Raw genomic sequence first — 16,131 nt, 5'->3', positions numbered from 1 at the left:
AGATGCTCTAGAAGTTTTGAAAGCTCCTCTGTGCTTCATAATGTTCAAATTCTACCCACAGATTTAAACGTGTGTGTGGATGTTTTGGGTAGTGATGCCGTTTACCTTTTGGAGTCATTTTTCCTGTGATAATATTTATTTCTCCATCTATGAAACTAAAATTAGACAGATTCATTGGATTGAATGAGAAGAGAAATAAAATAACTATCTTAATTTACCCTCCTGGTCCTGAAGAATAGCACCCCTGTTTTTTCTTAGGTGACTTAAAAGTTAAAAGCACATCTGTACTAACCTGGCCCTCCCACTTGGTAAACAAACACAATGAAGACTGTAGTCTGAAGCTGAATTATCCCTGTGGTAATAAACACAGAATTCAGGCATATCCACCACTTTCACTTAATACAATTTGCCTAATGTCTTCATCATTTCATCGTAACAAAACCAAATAATACTTCATTTCTAATTTGAGCTTTGGATGTTGTTGTGAGTGCTGGGCAAGACTTTTGGCCTCCTTTTCTTGGCAGGCATGACATTTCTCATCAAAGAACATTAGTTAGATGTAAGTACTTACATAGGGGTTACATTGCAGGATGCCTGTTCTTGGATACCTGAGATCCCATCTGTGGGGTTCAGTCTAGAAACCACATGGGGGTTTGGGGGAAAGCGCTCACTGTGACTTGGAACCGGAGCTCATCTACATGGTGTCCAACAGCTAGTTGGGTAAAGTGAAGAAACACAATCAATAGGGCATTGGTTGCTCTTCCAAAAAATTCTTTTTACTGGCTTCAACCCAACAATTTAAAATAAGAAAATAAAAACTCATCATAAGAGCCGAAAGATGTTTACTAGTTGCCTACCTTGTACCTGGCACTGTGTTAGCCTCTAGGGATACAACATGATGTGGATAGGCAAGATTGCTTCCTCCAAAACTGACCATTGCCTGAGTTAGGAAGACAAACACTTAAATAGGCAATGACAATATGTCCAATGATGGGAGAAGTACACAGTGCTGGTGGACTAAGAAAGTGAGGTGCGTGGTTAGGAGTTAAGGCATCAGGGACAGCCTCCTAGAGGGACATGACATCTAATCAGGGTACTTTAAGGTACATAATAGATATACAAGAGAAGGCTATCTGTTTTGGGTCTCTAGAAATTAGAAAAGACTGCAAGGTTAAACTCTGGAGGAATTAGACAAGAGAAGGTTATAAGGTTGGGATCTGTAAGAATTAGGCCAGAGAGGGCTGTAAGATTAGGATCTGTAGAAATAAGACATTAAAGACTGTAAGGTTAGGATGTGTAGAAATCAGACAAAAGGAAGCTGTAGGGTTAGGATCCACAGGAGGTAGAAAAGAGAGGGCTATAAAGTTAGGATCCTTAGGAAGTAAATAAGAGAAAGTTGTAAGATTAGGATCCATATAATTTAGAAAAAAGAAGGCTGTAGATTAGAATCCACAGGGAACAGACAAGAGAAGGCTGTATGTTAGAACCTACAAGAAGTGAACAAAAGAAGGCTGTAAGTCATGACCCACAGGAAGTAGTCAAGAGAATGTTGTAGGTCAGGATACACAGGAAGTAGTCAAGAGAAGGCTGTAGGTCAGGACCCACAGGAAGTAGTCAAGAGAAGGCTGTATGTAGGTCAGGACTCAAGGGAAATAGTCAAGAGAAGGCTCTATGCAGGTCAGGACCCACAGGAAGTAGTCAAGAGAATGTTGTAGGTCAGGACCCACAGGAAGTAGTCAAGAGAAGGTTGTAGGTCAGGACCCACAGGAAGTAGACAAGAGGAGGCTGCAGGTCAGGACCCACCGGAAGCAGACAAGAGAAGGCTGTAGGTCAGGACCCACAGGAAGTAGTCAAGAGAAGGCTGTAGGTCAGGACCCACAGGGAGTGGACAAGAGAAGGCTGGAAAAGGGTGAGGTTTCAGGGACTGTGTGAGGGTAGAGAGGGAAGGGAGACTGGGAGAAAGAGAGGGCTCTGGTTATCTGTTGCTGTGTCATAAAGCACTGCAAAACCTAGTGGCTTAGAGTAAAAATAACAACAATCTTCATTGCTTTTCACAGCTTTGTGAGTCAGGAACCTGGTCTCTGTCAGCCCATGGATGGAGCTGAAACAGTATGGATGAGCATGCCTAACTGGCTGGCCACCTCTCCTTCTGATGTGCTTTGAATATATGTCCCCACCCAAATCTCATGTTGAATTGTAATCCTCAGTGTTGGAGGTGGGGCCTGGTGGGAAGTGTTTGGGTCATGGGGGCAGATCCCTCATGGCTTGGTGTTGTCTTCATGATAGTGAGGTCTTGTGAGATCTGGTCACTTAAATGTGTGTGGCATCTCCCCCACCACTCTCTCTCTTGCTTCTGCCTTTGCCATGTGACGTGCCTGCCCCTGCTTTGCCTTCTGCCATGATTGGAAACTTCCTTAGATCCCCCACCCCACTGTCCAGAAGCAGATACCGCTATGCTTCCTGTACAGCCTGCAGAACTGTGAGCCAATTAAGCCTCTTTTCTTTATAAATGACCCAGCCCCAGGTATTTCTTTATAGCAATCATCACACCTGTAATCCCAGCAATTTGGGAAGGTGAAGTGGGTGGATCACTTGAGATCAGGAGTTCGAGACCAGCTTGGCCAACATGGTGAAACTCTACTAAAAATACAAAACTTACCTGGCCATCGTGGCTCCTGCCTGTAGTCCCAGCTACTCGGGAAGCTGAGGCAGGAGAATCGCTTGAACCCAGGAGGCGGAGGTTGCAATAAGCCAAGATTGAGCCACTGCACTCCAGTCTGGGCAAAGAATGAGACTCCTTCTCAAAACAAAAACAAAAACAGAAAACCAAAAAACCAAAAAACACACACACACAAAACCAGCCTAGTATACCCTCTCGTACATATGGTCCCAGGGCCCCTCCAGACCATCTCTCCATATGGGCTGATGTGGCTTTCCTTATGGTGGAGTGACCTAGGATACACAGACTGCGTCTGTGGCCACTGGGACTTCAGGAGTGTGTATCCCAGAGGACCAGCAGAAGTGGCATGGTGTTTCCCCACCTTTGACGGAGGGGGTCAAAGTTTCTCACCTTCTGAGGCAGGGGGAGTTTAACACAGCCGCAGAAAAAAGGGCATGTGGAAAGGGCTGGAAATGGTCTGTTTGGTCATCTCGGAGAAGCTCCGGGAAGCCGAGGTGTAAAGAAGCTGTAGGGACAGGCAGGCGATGAGGCTGGAGAGGATGGAGACTCCAATGCATGATGACCTTGCAAGCTGTGCCCTGGAGCCCAGCTCTATCCTGAGGTGAGCAGGAACATTTTGGTACTTCCTGGATCAGGAAGGTGCATTAATCAGGACCTCAGGCTACCCTGTGGGAGCAGTTGAGAAGGAGGTCATAATAGAAGTGGGAGCAGTGAAGAGATGCCAGCAACAGTCCTGTGAGGGATGATGGTGGGTGCAGATGGATGATGGACTGATAAATACCTGGAGGTATAATTGACAGGTTTGGGGCCTAACTGAATTGGGGGCAAGAGATTGGGAGCAGGTGGGATGGCAACCAGGACTATGGCTTGGACCACCAGGCAGTGTACAATTTCTCTACACCCTCGCCAACACTTGCTATTTTCCATTTTCTTTTTGATAGTAGCCATCCATTGGGTATAAGGTGGTATCTTATTGTGGTTTTGATTTACATTTCCCTAATGATTAGTGATGTGGAGCATTGGTCTAAAGGTTTCAATCAAGAGGTATCCGCCTTTTGGGAAACCAGCACATTGGACAGTGGAGATGTGGTAACTGTGTGTGGGTCAGAACAGATGGGGGCGCCCACTGAGATCAACTTGCCCTGTGCATGGAGATGTAGTAACTGTGTGTGAGTCAGGACAGATGGGGGGTGGGGGCACTGCGATCACCTTGCCCTGTGCAGGGGTCACTCCTCACACAAGTACATGAAGACTACAAGTGCAAGAAAGCAGCAACGAGGTCTCCACTTCTGTCAGCACTGGCTGGCAGTCTCTGCTAGAAGCCAACTGTTCGATTAACTATTGACTTGGCCTGCTGACTTTTTCAGGCTACATCAGTGAGGAGGAATGGGCTGGTAAAAGCACGGGAATGCCAAAGGAGACTGGTGACGTATATGGCCTTTGTAAATGGGAAAGAGGACCACACGAGCCAAAGGTTTCCAAATTCAGAGGAAAATAGAAGAATGATCACGAATGACAGGAAGGCAGGTGCTGACAATGTTCTCATGAAGGGGCCTAAGGGAGGGCTCTGAAGCTCAGGAAGGATGGCCACAAGCGGTGGGAGTTGGGGCTGGGACCCAGGAGCAGGACTGATGCCAGACAAGGACCCAGGGAAATGGCATCCATGTGACAGTGCCCAGAGCAAGCTGAGGCTCGAGAAAAATTCTGAGACAGTGCAAAGACTTAAAAACTAAACCACAGTTTGGCAAATGATGAGCACAAGAAGGTTAACTCCCTGTTTGGGGATAGTGGTTAGTGGAGCACCTTCATCCTCGGACATCTACTTGCGTAGGTCAGAGCCCCAGGCTTCACCCAGTTTAAAGTGTTACCCTAAAGTGTGGTGCGTTGACATGCTGAATACTTTGAACTGAAGAAGCAGCCCCAGAACCAAGGTCCCTCTGACCTTCTCTAGACCCTGTCCCACACCTCTTTGCCTCTCCCGAAGGGCAAGGAGGGGCTTTCTTGACTAAGGGAAGTTCCTCCAGAAGGAATGCAGTTGTCTTGGACTCCCTTCCCTAGCTTGTCAAACAGAGATGAACTTACAGGAAAGAAGGCTTGGAAAGACGACTGGAGTGGATACCACACCCGGGACCCAGGGGAACTTTGCTCTAGGCCATTGTCTGTTCTTTGGACCCATTTATCTTCCCTAAAAAATCATTTACTCTTCCTCAGAATTGCAACCCCCAACTCCCTCTCCTCTACAAAGAGGATATTTAAGTTTCAACCATCTGGTTCTTCTTAGAGTTGCACACTTCGTGCAACTCCCCTGGGCTTGCATGTTAATAAATTTGTAGGCCTTTTCTCTGGTTAATCTGTCTATTGTCAGTTTATCTCAGCAGATTCAATTATGGAACCTTCAGAGGGAAAGTTTGAACTTTCCTTCAAAGGGAAGTCTTTATTTCTAACAATGCCCCTCCTCCCTTCTGTGGAAGAGTAGCCTCCTGATAGAGCTTTGGGGCACACCTGGAGGAGGAGAGGAAGGTGTGGCAGCAGGAAGCAGGCCAGGTGGCTCTGCGCAGGGCTGGAGGCTGCACTGGGTGGCCCTCAAGGGCTGTCATACCTTTCCCCATTCACCGCTTCCACATGAAGAAAGTAGTGCCTCTGAGTTCTTCTTGCCCCAGGTCCTACCTCCACATAACCTTCCACAGGAGGGTGTTTCCCCTGAGCAGAACTCTGGGCCTGGCAGCTCCTGGCCAGTATGTGGGGCCCAGATGTGGAACTGTGCTCTGGAGTGGCATTTGTGAGACTGGTTTAACCAGAAACTCCCGGGAATTTGCACCTCTGCATTGACTCTTTCCCACACTTGGAGAATCTGATGAGGTGAATTGGAAATAGGGCTGGGATGAATAACAAGTGTTAACAAGTGCACAGATGATTCTGAGGCCCAGGCAGGCTGGAGCATTCTGCTAGAAGCCAGCAGCTAAGGGAGGAGCCCACCCATCCACCTGGTGGAAGGGAAGACCCCTCTGCTCAGGCGGCTCTGTGAGGTGACACTGAGGAAGCCTAAACAAGACTCTGGTGGTGACAAGCTCAGGGATGTGGCTCCGAGTTTGCTCCACTCACTTTGGACTTCACATCTGAATGATTTGGAAGACCTGTACAAACAGGTGTGTTCAACTTCATGGTGTATCTAGGCCAAAATGTTTCCTACATGCACAGAGTTCAGGTTTTGCCACAGAGCTCCCCTTTTGTATGCAAATGTTTTCCATCATGTGCCTATGGCCACTCCTTGTTGAGACCTTGCATCCTTGCCGGTGGCATACTGGAGCCCCAAAAGTAGCCTGGGGTCCCAAAAGATAGTTAGGTCCCTTCTGATACCTGAATCCATCCTTGTCTTAGGAAAGGGGTCATCAGCTTCCATTGTACATTTCCAGTGGCAGGGAGCTCAGTTATCCCTAGCAGTTGACGTAATGTCAAGACGATCCTAGTGGCTGGATGTCGTGGCTCACGCCTGTAATCCCAGCACTTAGGGTGGCCAATGTGGGTGGATCACTTGAGGTCAGGAGTTCGAGACCAGCCTGGCAACATGGCAAAACCTCGTCACTACTAAAAATACAAAAATTAGCCAGGTGCGGTAGTGCGCACTTGTAATCTCAACTACTCAGGAAGCTGAGGCAGGAGAATTGCTTGAATCCGGGAGGCAGAGGTAGCAGTGAGCTGAGATCGAGCCACTGCACTCCAGCCTGGGCAACAGAGTGAGACTCTGTCTCAAATAAAAAAAAAAAAAAAGATGATGCTCGTCCTCAGAGATGCCTTTCTCACATTGAGTGTCAATCATCTCCCTGCAACTCCCCCACCTAGATGTGCTGCTCTCTTCCTTTGCACAAGACATTGCTGTGGAGACATGAAGACATCCAGTGCACCTCCCCAAAATTTATACAGGCTAAGCAGAGACTGACAGCACTTAGAATTCAATGCACAAATGGATCAACCACCCAGGGAAGCTTGTGAAGATGGAGATAGGGATTCTGGACTTCTCACAAGCCCCTGGTGATGTGGAGGCTGCTGCTGCAGGGACCGCACTTACGAAGTACTGGTTGAGTATTAAAGAGTCCACCTAGAAGTAAGAGGGGCCCAAGACCCTGGCATGGCCCCTCACTTAGTGGCTCTGTGACCGTGGGCAGTTACATCCCATCTTGGCACCTTTGTTTCCTTTACAGTAAAATGAGGCTAATGAGGGCCTCTCTCAAGGGCTTGCTGGGAGGACCAAGTCCAGGCTCAAGCTCCCCACTCATGGGCCAGCGCATGGTACATGTTTGACAATGTGAGCCCTTGGTCATGTTTAGTTGAACAACCCGGGACCTTCAACTGTTTCCTGGAGGTGCTCCACCTCCATGTCCTCTCCCCAGGAGACATTTAGAGGGGTCATACTCATAGAAAAGGGCCAGGGTACTACACAGAAGATGCAGACAACATCTGTAATTTCCACAAACAACATGTTGTCATAAATCTCACCACTGTCCTACTAAACACAATGGCAGAAATAGTGGTTTTGCTGGGCAACCCCTGTGAGTGAAATATCAATTCAGAAGCTGAAAGACCTATCAACCAAGGTCTATCCTGTGAGGCTACACTGGTTCAGCTTTTGTGCTGATTAGAAATGCTGATGAACAGTTAGCTAAATTAATATGCTTTGATATAGCAAGACAAATCTATTAGTATTTAATCAATGTCATCTTTGATAGATTAAAGCTGGGGAAATTCTGAATTTTTTCATAAATTAATGGACAGCTTTGTGTTTCTTGACTTGGCTCAGGTGCCAACCCCTGAAGCCAGAGCAAGTTAGGTGTTCCTCAGAACAACCTATTAAATTACGTAACATGTGGGATTGTAATTATCTTTCTTCTCTGTTAGATTTTAACTCCTTGAGTGCAGAGACCAGATCTTATTGTCATGGTACCATCAGCGCCCATCAAAGTGCCTGGCACAGTGCAAATGTTTGTAAAAGGGAGGGAGGAAAGAAGAAAGGAAGAGAGAGAAGGAGAGAGGGAGGGAAACAAGGAAGGGAGAAAGAAGGAGGGCGTGAGGAAGGAAGAAGGCATACATGACCTCCCTCAGGAGCAAATGGAAAGAGGAAAACATCACTGGCTAGTGAGTTGGGCTTCACTGGATGGAGACTCTCTGCTTGTGTTCCCTGGAGGCATTCTGTGCTTCAGGAAGACAGGCCCAGTGCTGTAAGGGAGTGAGGCGTCCTTCTAGCTGACTTGCTGGGAGCAAGACTTTATGTGTTTAGTTCTACCCACAGCCTTGCCAATATTGGTTCTAAGGAAGAAGATCGCTTCCCCAAAATAAGTTCCCCAAAGTAATATTTTCTCCTGTGGGGACATAGTTACTATAACCGTGGTTCTTATTGAACAGATGGACTCTTCCTTCGTTAGACAATTCTTTTCCTTGGACCCTGAGAATTGCAAAATGAGATATTCCTTCTCATGTTTTAGTGAGATGAAAACAAAGTGGAGAGGATGCTTGAGGTGATTTGGAGGCAGGCCAAAATGCAGCTTTGTTCTTGTCGCTTGCACCCAGTGAGCGACTCATGGGAACCAGATTTTGGGATAGTGATCTGCTTGCACTCCTGGCTGGTTGCGTGGCTGGCAACAGGTGTGGCCAAATTGAATGGCATTGGTTGGGAGGAAAGGAGGGGGCGTTGTGTGGTATTTTCACAATGAAAATCAGGTGTGGCTGCACTTGTTGGGAAAACAAAAAGGTATAAAATCTTGAATCCAAATCAAAGCCCCTGTATTTGTGTGAGTCTGGGACTTGGTTTACTGAATGCCTCCCCATCCTCCCAGTGTGGAAATGGCGCCTTTGCCAACAGGACAAGGACAATGCATCTTGCATGGTCCCCTGGGCCCTGGGCAGCATAGTCCTGGCAGCTGCTGAGGTTTCTAAACAAAGAGGGAGGCACGTTTTGCCCCTGTGTTTCCAGTAGAACAAGAATTAAGAGGCTTCTGTAGAAGCCGTGGCATGGAAACCTATCAATACCCTGGGTGCTGGTTTCCTTCCTAGCCGGCTGCCTGCAAGAGGGCACCTGTTCTGAAGATCGAGCAGGGTCCCCTCCCCAACCATGGAAATACAGGAAAATCTTGGTTTCCTTCAAGGGAAATTCCAGGCACTTAGCTAGCCCTAAGAAGCCAATGAACAACTTGATAAGCAGGAAGGTAATAATAACCTAAAACAACAGCGAAGGAAGCCAGAGTCCTGGGGTGTTTTGTTCCCTCTGGAAATTAAAAAGAACATCTCAACTTCTGACTCCGAGTTGTTTTTCAGAAACCCAGACCCCCACCAAACGGATCCACTGGCACAGAGACCTCAGAGAAGAGGGAGCTGAGGACTGAACTCTGAGCACGGCTCTTTGTTCTATATTTCTTCCTGGGGGGCCTGGGGGAAGTCCCACCCACAAGCCAGAGCTAACATTCCTTTCTGCTAACCCAAATTTTAAAACAAAGCTTCTCTTCCTTAACCAATTGCAATTCAGAAAATGTTTGACTCCACCCTATGACCCGTAAGTCCCTGGTTCAAGATATCCTGCCTTTTTAGGCCGAACCAATGTGTACCCTCCATGTGTTGATTTACAATTTCACCTGTAACTTTGGCTTTCCTGAACATTTCCCTTGCCATTAAAAATCCATGCTTGCAAGCCACGGGGGAGGTTGGGTTTTAAGCGTGAGCTGCCTGATTCCCCTTGCTTGGTGCCCTGCAAATAAACACCCTCCTTTCTCCCACTGCAAACCTCAGTGTGGATTTTGGCTTTACTGTGCTGGGCCAGTGGATCCGTTTCATTAGGTAAAACTCTCAAACTCTTCAGTTAATCCCAACACTTCCCTCCAAATCCCCAAAGGTCAGGAACTGATGGGGGGTGAGGGTGTGAACACACTTTCTTTTTGAGTGGAGGGCACAGGTACTGGTTACTAAATCAGGGCAGTCAGGACCCACTGGAGGGCCTGGCCCTGAGAAGGCATGGACAGGTGTTGAAGGGACAAGGTGGGACGCCAGACTCAGACTGTGGTAGACAGGGAGGTGGCTCTGTCAGCCCTGACCCCTACTGCCCACAGAAGGAAGACAGGAGTCCAGGAAGAGAACCGTATCTGCAAACTTGTTTCACTTTTTAAAAAGTGGGCCTTTTCTTGATCAGAAAATAGCTTTCAGAGGCAAGTTTCTCCCTGTGAAGGAAACCCATTCTGTGCAAATGATCATTTCTGCAAAATTGCCCTGGGCTGGTCCTTAGCCAGTCTGCCTGAGTTGACCTGAATGCCTGCTGAGTCTGAGCTGGGGGCCTTAGGGGTTTGCTCATCAAGGAGCTTACAAGTGAGTGGGTGGGTGTGGGTACAGAGGGACACTTGGGACCAGGCGGTGCCCTTGCCACACCCACCTAATTTGCAGGGCGAGGGAAGAGCAGGGTGGGCCAGGAGAGGGAGGAAGGGAGGGAGGGAGAAGGGCTGGAGTAGAGTGCGCCTGGGAACTGGCACGGAGGGGACCGGGCCAAGCAAGCAGTGCCCCTCCATCAGAGGAGAGCCAGGGAGCCCTTTGGGTGAGGTCGTCTTGGGATCCCTACTGCCTTCTGGACTTTATGGATCTAAAAAGGCTAAGTATGTGTTGATGATCGTGTGTGTGTGTGTGTGTGTGTGTGTGTGTGTGTGTGTTGCTTGTTTTGGGGGAGGGGGAAGTAAGCTCCTCTGGGTTCATCTGGGGGTGGGGGACAGCCTGCAGTAACTCAAGAAATGCCTTCTGTGGCAAAGTCCTCTAGGTCATCAGTGGAGATGATGCCCAGGCCTGGAGCTTCTACACCCTCCTCTCCTGGGCTCTGGGGAGGACCATGAGGGCGCTGGCCTGCAGAGTGCGGGGTGCAGTCACCGTGAGGCCCTGGGTCCAGCTGTAGTCCAGACTCGTGGACACTCTGGGTCCTGGCGCGGGCCGCGGAGGCACGAGGGCCCTGCCTGAGGAAGGTGGGCGCGGAGAGCTGAGAGGAGCAGCGCAGCGGCATCAAGGCCGTCACGGGCACTGGCTGGAAGCCGGGGTACAGCACATAGGGAGCGGCCAGGGCGTCCGGTGGGGGCGGCTCTGGGGAGGCCCCCTCGGAGGACGGGATGGAGACCTTGACATACTTGCCCGTCTCTGGGTCATAGAAGGTCTTGATTTTCACCTGGAGTGGCAAGTCGAAGACAAAGTACTCCCCGGACTGCGGATCCTGGAGGACCTTCTGGGTGGCGGGGTACGCGGGCAGGGGTGTGAGGGACTGGGGGCCCCCGGGCCGCCTCCCGACAGGCTCCGAGAAGCCGGACACGGAGTGGCGGTGCACGGGAGGGGGCAGGGAACGGACCACGGGGAAATTGTGTCGGGGCCTCTCTCTGGGGCACAGCGGCCTTTGCTGTGTCTGCTCCAAGTCCTCCGGGCAGGGCTTTCCCTCCTGTGACTCGCCATGCTTCTCCTGAGCCTGATCCGTCTTCCTCCTCTTACTTGCCAGCTTCTTTGCCCGCCGCAGGGCTTTCTCTGTTTTGGGTGGGACTGCAGGTGGCTTGCTTGCTGTCCTCTCTAGCTGTGCAGGAAGCTCAAGTCTCCCAGAGGTGCCTGCTGGGCTGGTGGCCACATCCAGCAATGAACCTCTTGGAGAGAGGGTCCGGAGGTCTTCTGCCGACAGCTCAAGTAGGGGGTCAGAGCCGCCCTCCCACACGAGGGCGTGGGTCAGGTCCTCCCTCCGGGTGACCCTGGCAGGACTGGAGCTGGCCCAGGGGCTGGCTTGATTAGGCTCCTCGGGAAGCAGCTCTGGTCCTCCAGGGGCCTGGGAAGACTCCTCCCAAATGTTGCTGGCAGCAGGGGAGCAGGCACTGCTCTCCCCGGGGGAGCCGGGGTTGGGGGAATTCGCCCTCTCACTGGGGACCAGTCTTCTGCCAGGGGGCCCTGCTCTGGGTGTGGACAAAAAGTGACTCTTGAAACCTGGTGTTTGCTCTTCCCAACAGTTTTCGGGCTGCCATGGGGGTGGCTGGTCTTCTATGTCACCCTCGGGTAAAGCAATGGTGGGGATGTGCCATGGGGCTGCCAGCTTCCCTGAGTCTGCAGAACCGCTCTTGCAATTGCTTGCCACGAGGCCAGGTGCAGCATCTGGTGGTGCCTTCACCCGGTCCCCCTCTCCCACCAGAGGCATAGATGGGAAATTCCCCTTTGGGGCTGGCTGAGAGGCCTCCATCCTGGCCATGCTCGACCCCTGCCCAGGGTCCTCCATGACCTCGTTGGCCATGCACTTCACACGTGTGCCCCGTGTGTTAGTGGGTGTCGATGTACCAAGAATGTCCTGGTTTTCGGGGGCACAAAACCCAGGATCCTCACCCCATTCTGGCCTTGGCAATTCCTCCTCTTTGTGGCCACTGCTGAGGGAGTCCTCCAAGGACATGGTCCTCAGGAGAGGCAGCATGATAGGTTTAATTACGGGGGTAGCTCTGAGGGTGTTGTCTTTAATCGTAAACAGCATGTGCCTGTTTGAAGCAGAAGATGGTGAGGGAGTAAGGTCTTTGGCCTGTGAAAAGGTTGTGCCCTTATTTTCCCCAATCCAAGAGCCTCTGAAATTAGCTTCCTCTGCTGATGCCTTCCTGGTTCTTCCTCCAGACACACTTTCCCTTTCTCTTTGCAATGCTTCCCCCTGGCTGCGGTTTTCCAGGCATGCGTGCCCATTGCTTAAGGCACAGTACTGCAGCTCATCCTTCCGCATCACATTCTCCTTCTCATCCTTCTGACTGTCACCTGCACTCACATCCTTCCTCCTGTCTTCCCGCTGGTTCTCAGTAAACCACATCTTCTGCTGATCATCAAATGAGGCAAAGGATTGATCTGAAGAGCTGGTGCTGAATTTGGCCTTACCTTTGAGGCTTGGCATAAAATCGGATTGGCTGTCACTGTAAAACACATCTTCCTCCTCAGGAGAGAGGGGCCCTGGGAAGAATTTCTGGTTCAAATGTGTGTTCTGAAGTCCTGCTTCCCTCTCAGGTTCTGTCTCTTGGGACACAGATCTGGAGAGCCCATTCTCTAGCTGGTGGGTCTTCATTTTCTCTGTAGCCCCTCCAGGCTCAGGATCCCTATTGCAAAGCCTCAGGGAGAGGTGTTTCCTGGGGCGGTGTTCCCTGGAGTCTGGACACCAGCTGGATCCGGCAGGACCCATCTCCAACTCTCCTTCCACCTCCTTGTTCTCATAACTGCTTCTCTCAGCAGCCTCCCCATTGACATAGAAGGGGGCTTTGGCGATAGTCGGAGCTGTGCTAAGAGTTAGATAGCTGTCTGCAGAGGGCTCACTGGGGTCAGCTGTAGGGTCCTTCTGGGGATTGATGTGTGATGCAGTGGGGTCATCAGCGGGTCTCTCCTTAGAAAGCTCATTTGGAGGGCTTTCCTCAAGCCCATTGGGGAGGATGACACCGTTGCTCACAGGTTCTTGCTTTCCATCAACCTTACCTCTAGTTTTCTCATCAAGCACTTTCAAGAGAGGTGAGGAACTGTATGTGCTCTTAACACGCTTCCGCACGTCCTTGAGGTTGAACAGCAGGCTAGGGGCTTTGGACTTGTAGCTGTCTCGAGACTGACATTCACTGGGCTCCTTCTCTTGGTATCCGTTTAGCTGTCCTGGGGGTGATGGGGTTCGCTCTGCTGGCTGGCTGTCTGCTGAATCCAGGGCGTGCTTGCTGGGTATGATGGGGGTCAGGAGCTTACTGATGTTAAAGGGGGGATCATAATGTTCATTGGGTTCCACAGGCAGGTCAAGAGCATTGTTTTCTGAAAACTGTTCCTGGGGGTTGTGTTTTGTATACAAAGGTGGGCCTCTCTGGTTGGTCTGTGTCTTTTCTTCTAAAGTATCTTGTAGACTTTCTTTCCCTTTTTTGCCAGTCTTTGGCTTCCTCCATGGGGGCTGGGCTGGCTTCTCTTGAGAATCAGGTTGTGAGCTGGGAGCTTTTCCTTCCACAGCAAATACCTGGGCTCCTGGATCCCTGCACCCCCAGGGTATAGATGTGGACAGAGCCCCTGCTGCAAGTCTGTTCTCTTCCTGACTGCAGCTGGCCTGGACCTGGCAGGGAGAGACTGTGCGCTCAGGAGGACAGGGTTCTCTTAGCAAGGTCGTGTCCCCATAGTGCTTGGGAGCTTTGCTTTCTGGGACGGTTCCAGCTGTGTCCTTTCTCTCCAGCAGCTTTGGTTGGTGGGCATTCCATGACTCAAAAGCACTATTTTCACTGTGCAGAAAGGTACCTTTGCCTCTCCCAGGCTCACCCGTGACTGGCTTGTGGTGTGGAGAGGGGAACTTTGACTCACATAAGGTGGCCGTGTCATTGGCTGCTGGGAGGAAGCTGCTGGAGCCGTGACAGGCCATTTCTGGATTCTTGGAGGACTCCTGTTCTCCGTGCTTCCTGCCTGGCTGGTAGCTGTTCTGATGGGTGTTGGAAACTTCAGCGGGCACCCTCCTGACTGTCAGAAAGGCAGAATCGAAGCAGAAGTTGACACTGTTTTCTGGAAGAGGAGCGAATTTGGGAGGATTTTTCAGAGCCGGAGGCTTGCTGGCAGTGGGCCTGCTCTCACAACGTTGGCTCTCGGTCCTGTCGAAAGATTTAATTAGTGTTGATACTTTGGAGACAGGCTTATTGCTGCTCCTTAGGCCGGAAACTGGCACCTCCAGTCTCCTCTGGACTGGCGTTGGTGGGGGGCTGGTTTTGGGGTACTTTTCCTCTCCCTGAACGTACTTGGGTAGCTGTTGGAAGGTGGCCGCCCAGCCCGAATGTTCCGTGCCCTGTGACGGTAACTGGCTCCAAATGCCACTTTTCCTCTGGGTGTGGCCCACTGTTCTCTGGTGAAAAGTCCCAAACACCTGTCGGGTGATATCCGGGGACACAGCCAGATAGGAGTCATGGAAGGATGTGTCCTCGGAGATGCACAAACTCCGGAATGCCCGGTCTGTTAGGCTGCTCACCTCCCTGTCTGCATCATCCAACACGCTGCCGATGCTGGAGGAGTCGCTGAACGCGTCTGTGCACTTCTTATTTCCTTGCATCATCTGTTGGCTCCAAGAAAGCTGTCCTTGTCAGCCGGCAGGTGTCTCTGGTGATGATTCTGTCAAGGTTAGGTGTTTCCCTCTTCCCCAAAACTAGAGCCTCTCATTGACCAGATGCAATTGCAAAGTGGGGATTTTTTTTTTTCTCTGCAAAAGAAAAAGGTGCAGGGCGTGAACAAAGTATACAGCTCTACACAAGAATATGTGCTGGTTCAGGTGGAAAATGGTGCCTGTGAGGGTTAATTTTATGTGTCAAACTTGGCAAGCTTGCTATATGTATAGACTGTAGACCGGTCTAGCTGTTTCTGTGAAGGTATTTTTTAGATGTGATTAACACTAAAATCAGTAGACTTTAAGTAAAGCAGTTTATCTTCTATAAGGCAGGTGGCCCTCATTTAATTAGTTGAAGGCCCTAAGAGTAAAAAGACTGAGTTCGCAAGCAACACAAACAAAAATAGACAAGTGGGATTACATCAATTCAAAAGCTTCTGCACAGCAAGGGAAACAATCACAAAAATGAAAAGGTATTCTATGGAATGGAAGAAAATGTTTTCAAACTGTGTATCTGATAAAGGGTTAATATTCCAAAATACATGAGAAACTCCTACAACCGAATAACAAACAAAACAAAATGAAACAAAACCCCAAACCCGCTGATTTAAAAATGGGTAGAGAAACTGAACAGATATTTCTCCAAAGAAGACATAGAAATGGCAAACAGGTATATAAAAAGGGGCTCACCATCACTAACCATCAGGGAAATGCAGATCAAAGCCACAATGACATATCACATCATGCCTGTTAGGATGGCTATTATCAAAGAAAGAAAAGATGACAAGTGTTGGTAAGGATGTGGAGAAAAGGGGACCCCTGTACACTGTTGGTGGAAATGTAAATTGATGTAGTCACTTTGGAAAACAGTATAAAGATTCTTCAAAAAATTAAGACTAGAACTACTATATGATCCAACATTCCCATATCTGGGTACAGGCCCAAAGGAAATGAAATTAGGATATTAAAGTATCTGCACCCACCTGTTCATTACTCACAGTGGCCAAGACAGAGAAGTGAACAAAATTTCCATTGATGGATGAATGGATAAAGAAAATGTGGTATATGCATACAATGGAATTATTCAACCTTAAAGAAGCAGGAAATTTTTAAATTTATGATAACATGGGTGAAATTGGAGGACATTTTGTTAAGAGAAACAACCCAGTCGCAGAAAGACAAACACTGATTGATGTCACTTACTTGAGGAAGCTTAGACAGTCAAACTCATAGAAGCAGAGTAGAGTGGGGGTTGTCAGAGGCTGGGAAGCAGGGAAGGGGGGAGTTATTTGTCAAAGGAAGTAACGTTTCAGTTATGCAGGATGAATTAGTTCTGGAGATCTGA

The 16,131-nt window shown here is 49.5% G+C and overlaps 1 protein-coding gene across 6 annotated transcripts in view, besides 1 other annotated feature; it reads right to left on the bottom strand.

The window, feature by feature from the left end:
- Positions 603-1,802: an enhancer, noted in NCBI's record as "CDK7 strongly-dependent group 2 enhancer chr10:50543527-50544726 (GRCh37/hg19 assembly coordinates)". NCBI's record gives its function as "activates an origin of replication core promoter dependent on BRD2, BRD4, P300/CBP, MED14 and CDK7 cofactors, with strong dependence on CDK7, by STARR-seq in HCT116 cells {active_cell/tissue: HCT116}" and the evidence as "EXISTENCE:reporter gene assay evidence [ECO:0000049][PMID:35650434]".
- The window catches only part of C10orf71 (chromosome 10 open reading frame 71), a 30,443-nt gene continuing 24,103 nt past the window's right edge, over positions 9,792-16,131 (bottom strand). For 4 of the 6 annotated variants that reach the window (XM_005269478.5, XM_005269477.4, NM_001135196.2 and 1 more), the window contains exon 3: positions 9,792-14,882. In XM_005269478.5, the coding sequence (XP_005269535.1) occupies positions 10,431-14,738 (4,308 nt within the window). In that variant the 5' untranslated portion in view covers positions 14,739-14,882 and the 3' untranslated portion in view covers positions 9,792-10,430. The remainder of the gene's footprint in view (positions 14,883-16,131) is intronic. The other 2 variants (XM_047424549.1, XM_017015619.2) reach the window with 1 other exon arrangement.

The sequence above is a fragment of the Homo sapiens genome, chromosome 10 (genome assembly GCF_000001405.40).
Source record: "Homo sapiens chromosome 10, GRCh38.p14 Primary Assembly".
Lineage (NCBI taxonomy): Eukaryota > Metazoa > Chordata > Mammalia > Primates > Hominidae > Homo > Homo sapiens.
The sequence above is the reverse complement of the archived record's forward strand: the minus strand, read 5'-3'. Positions and strand labels throughout refer to the sequence as shown.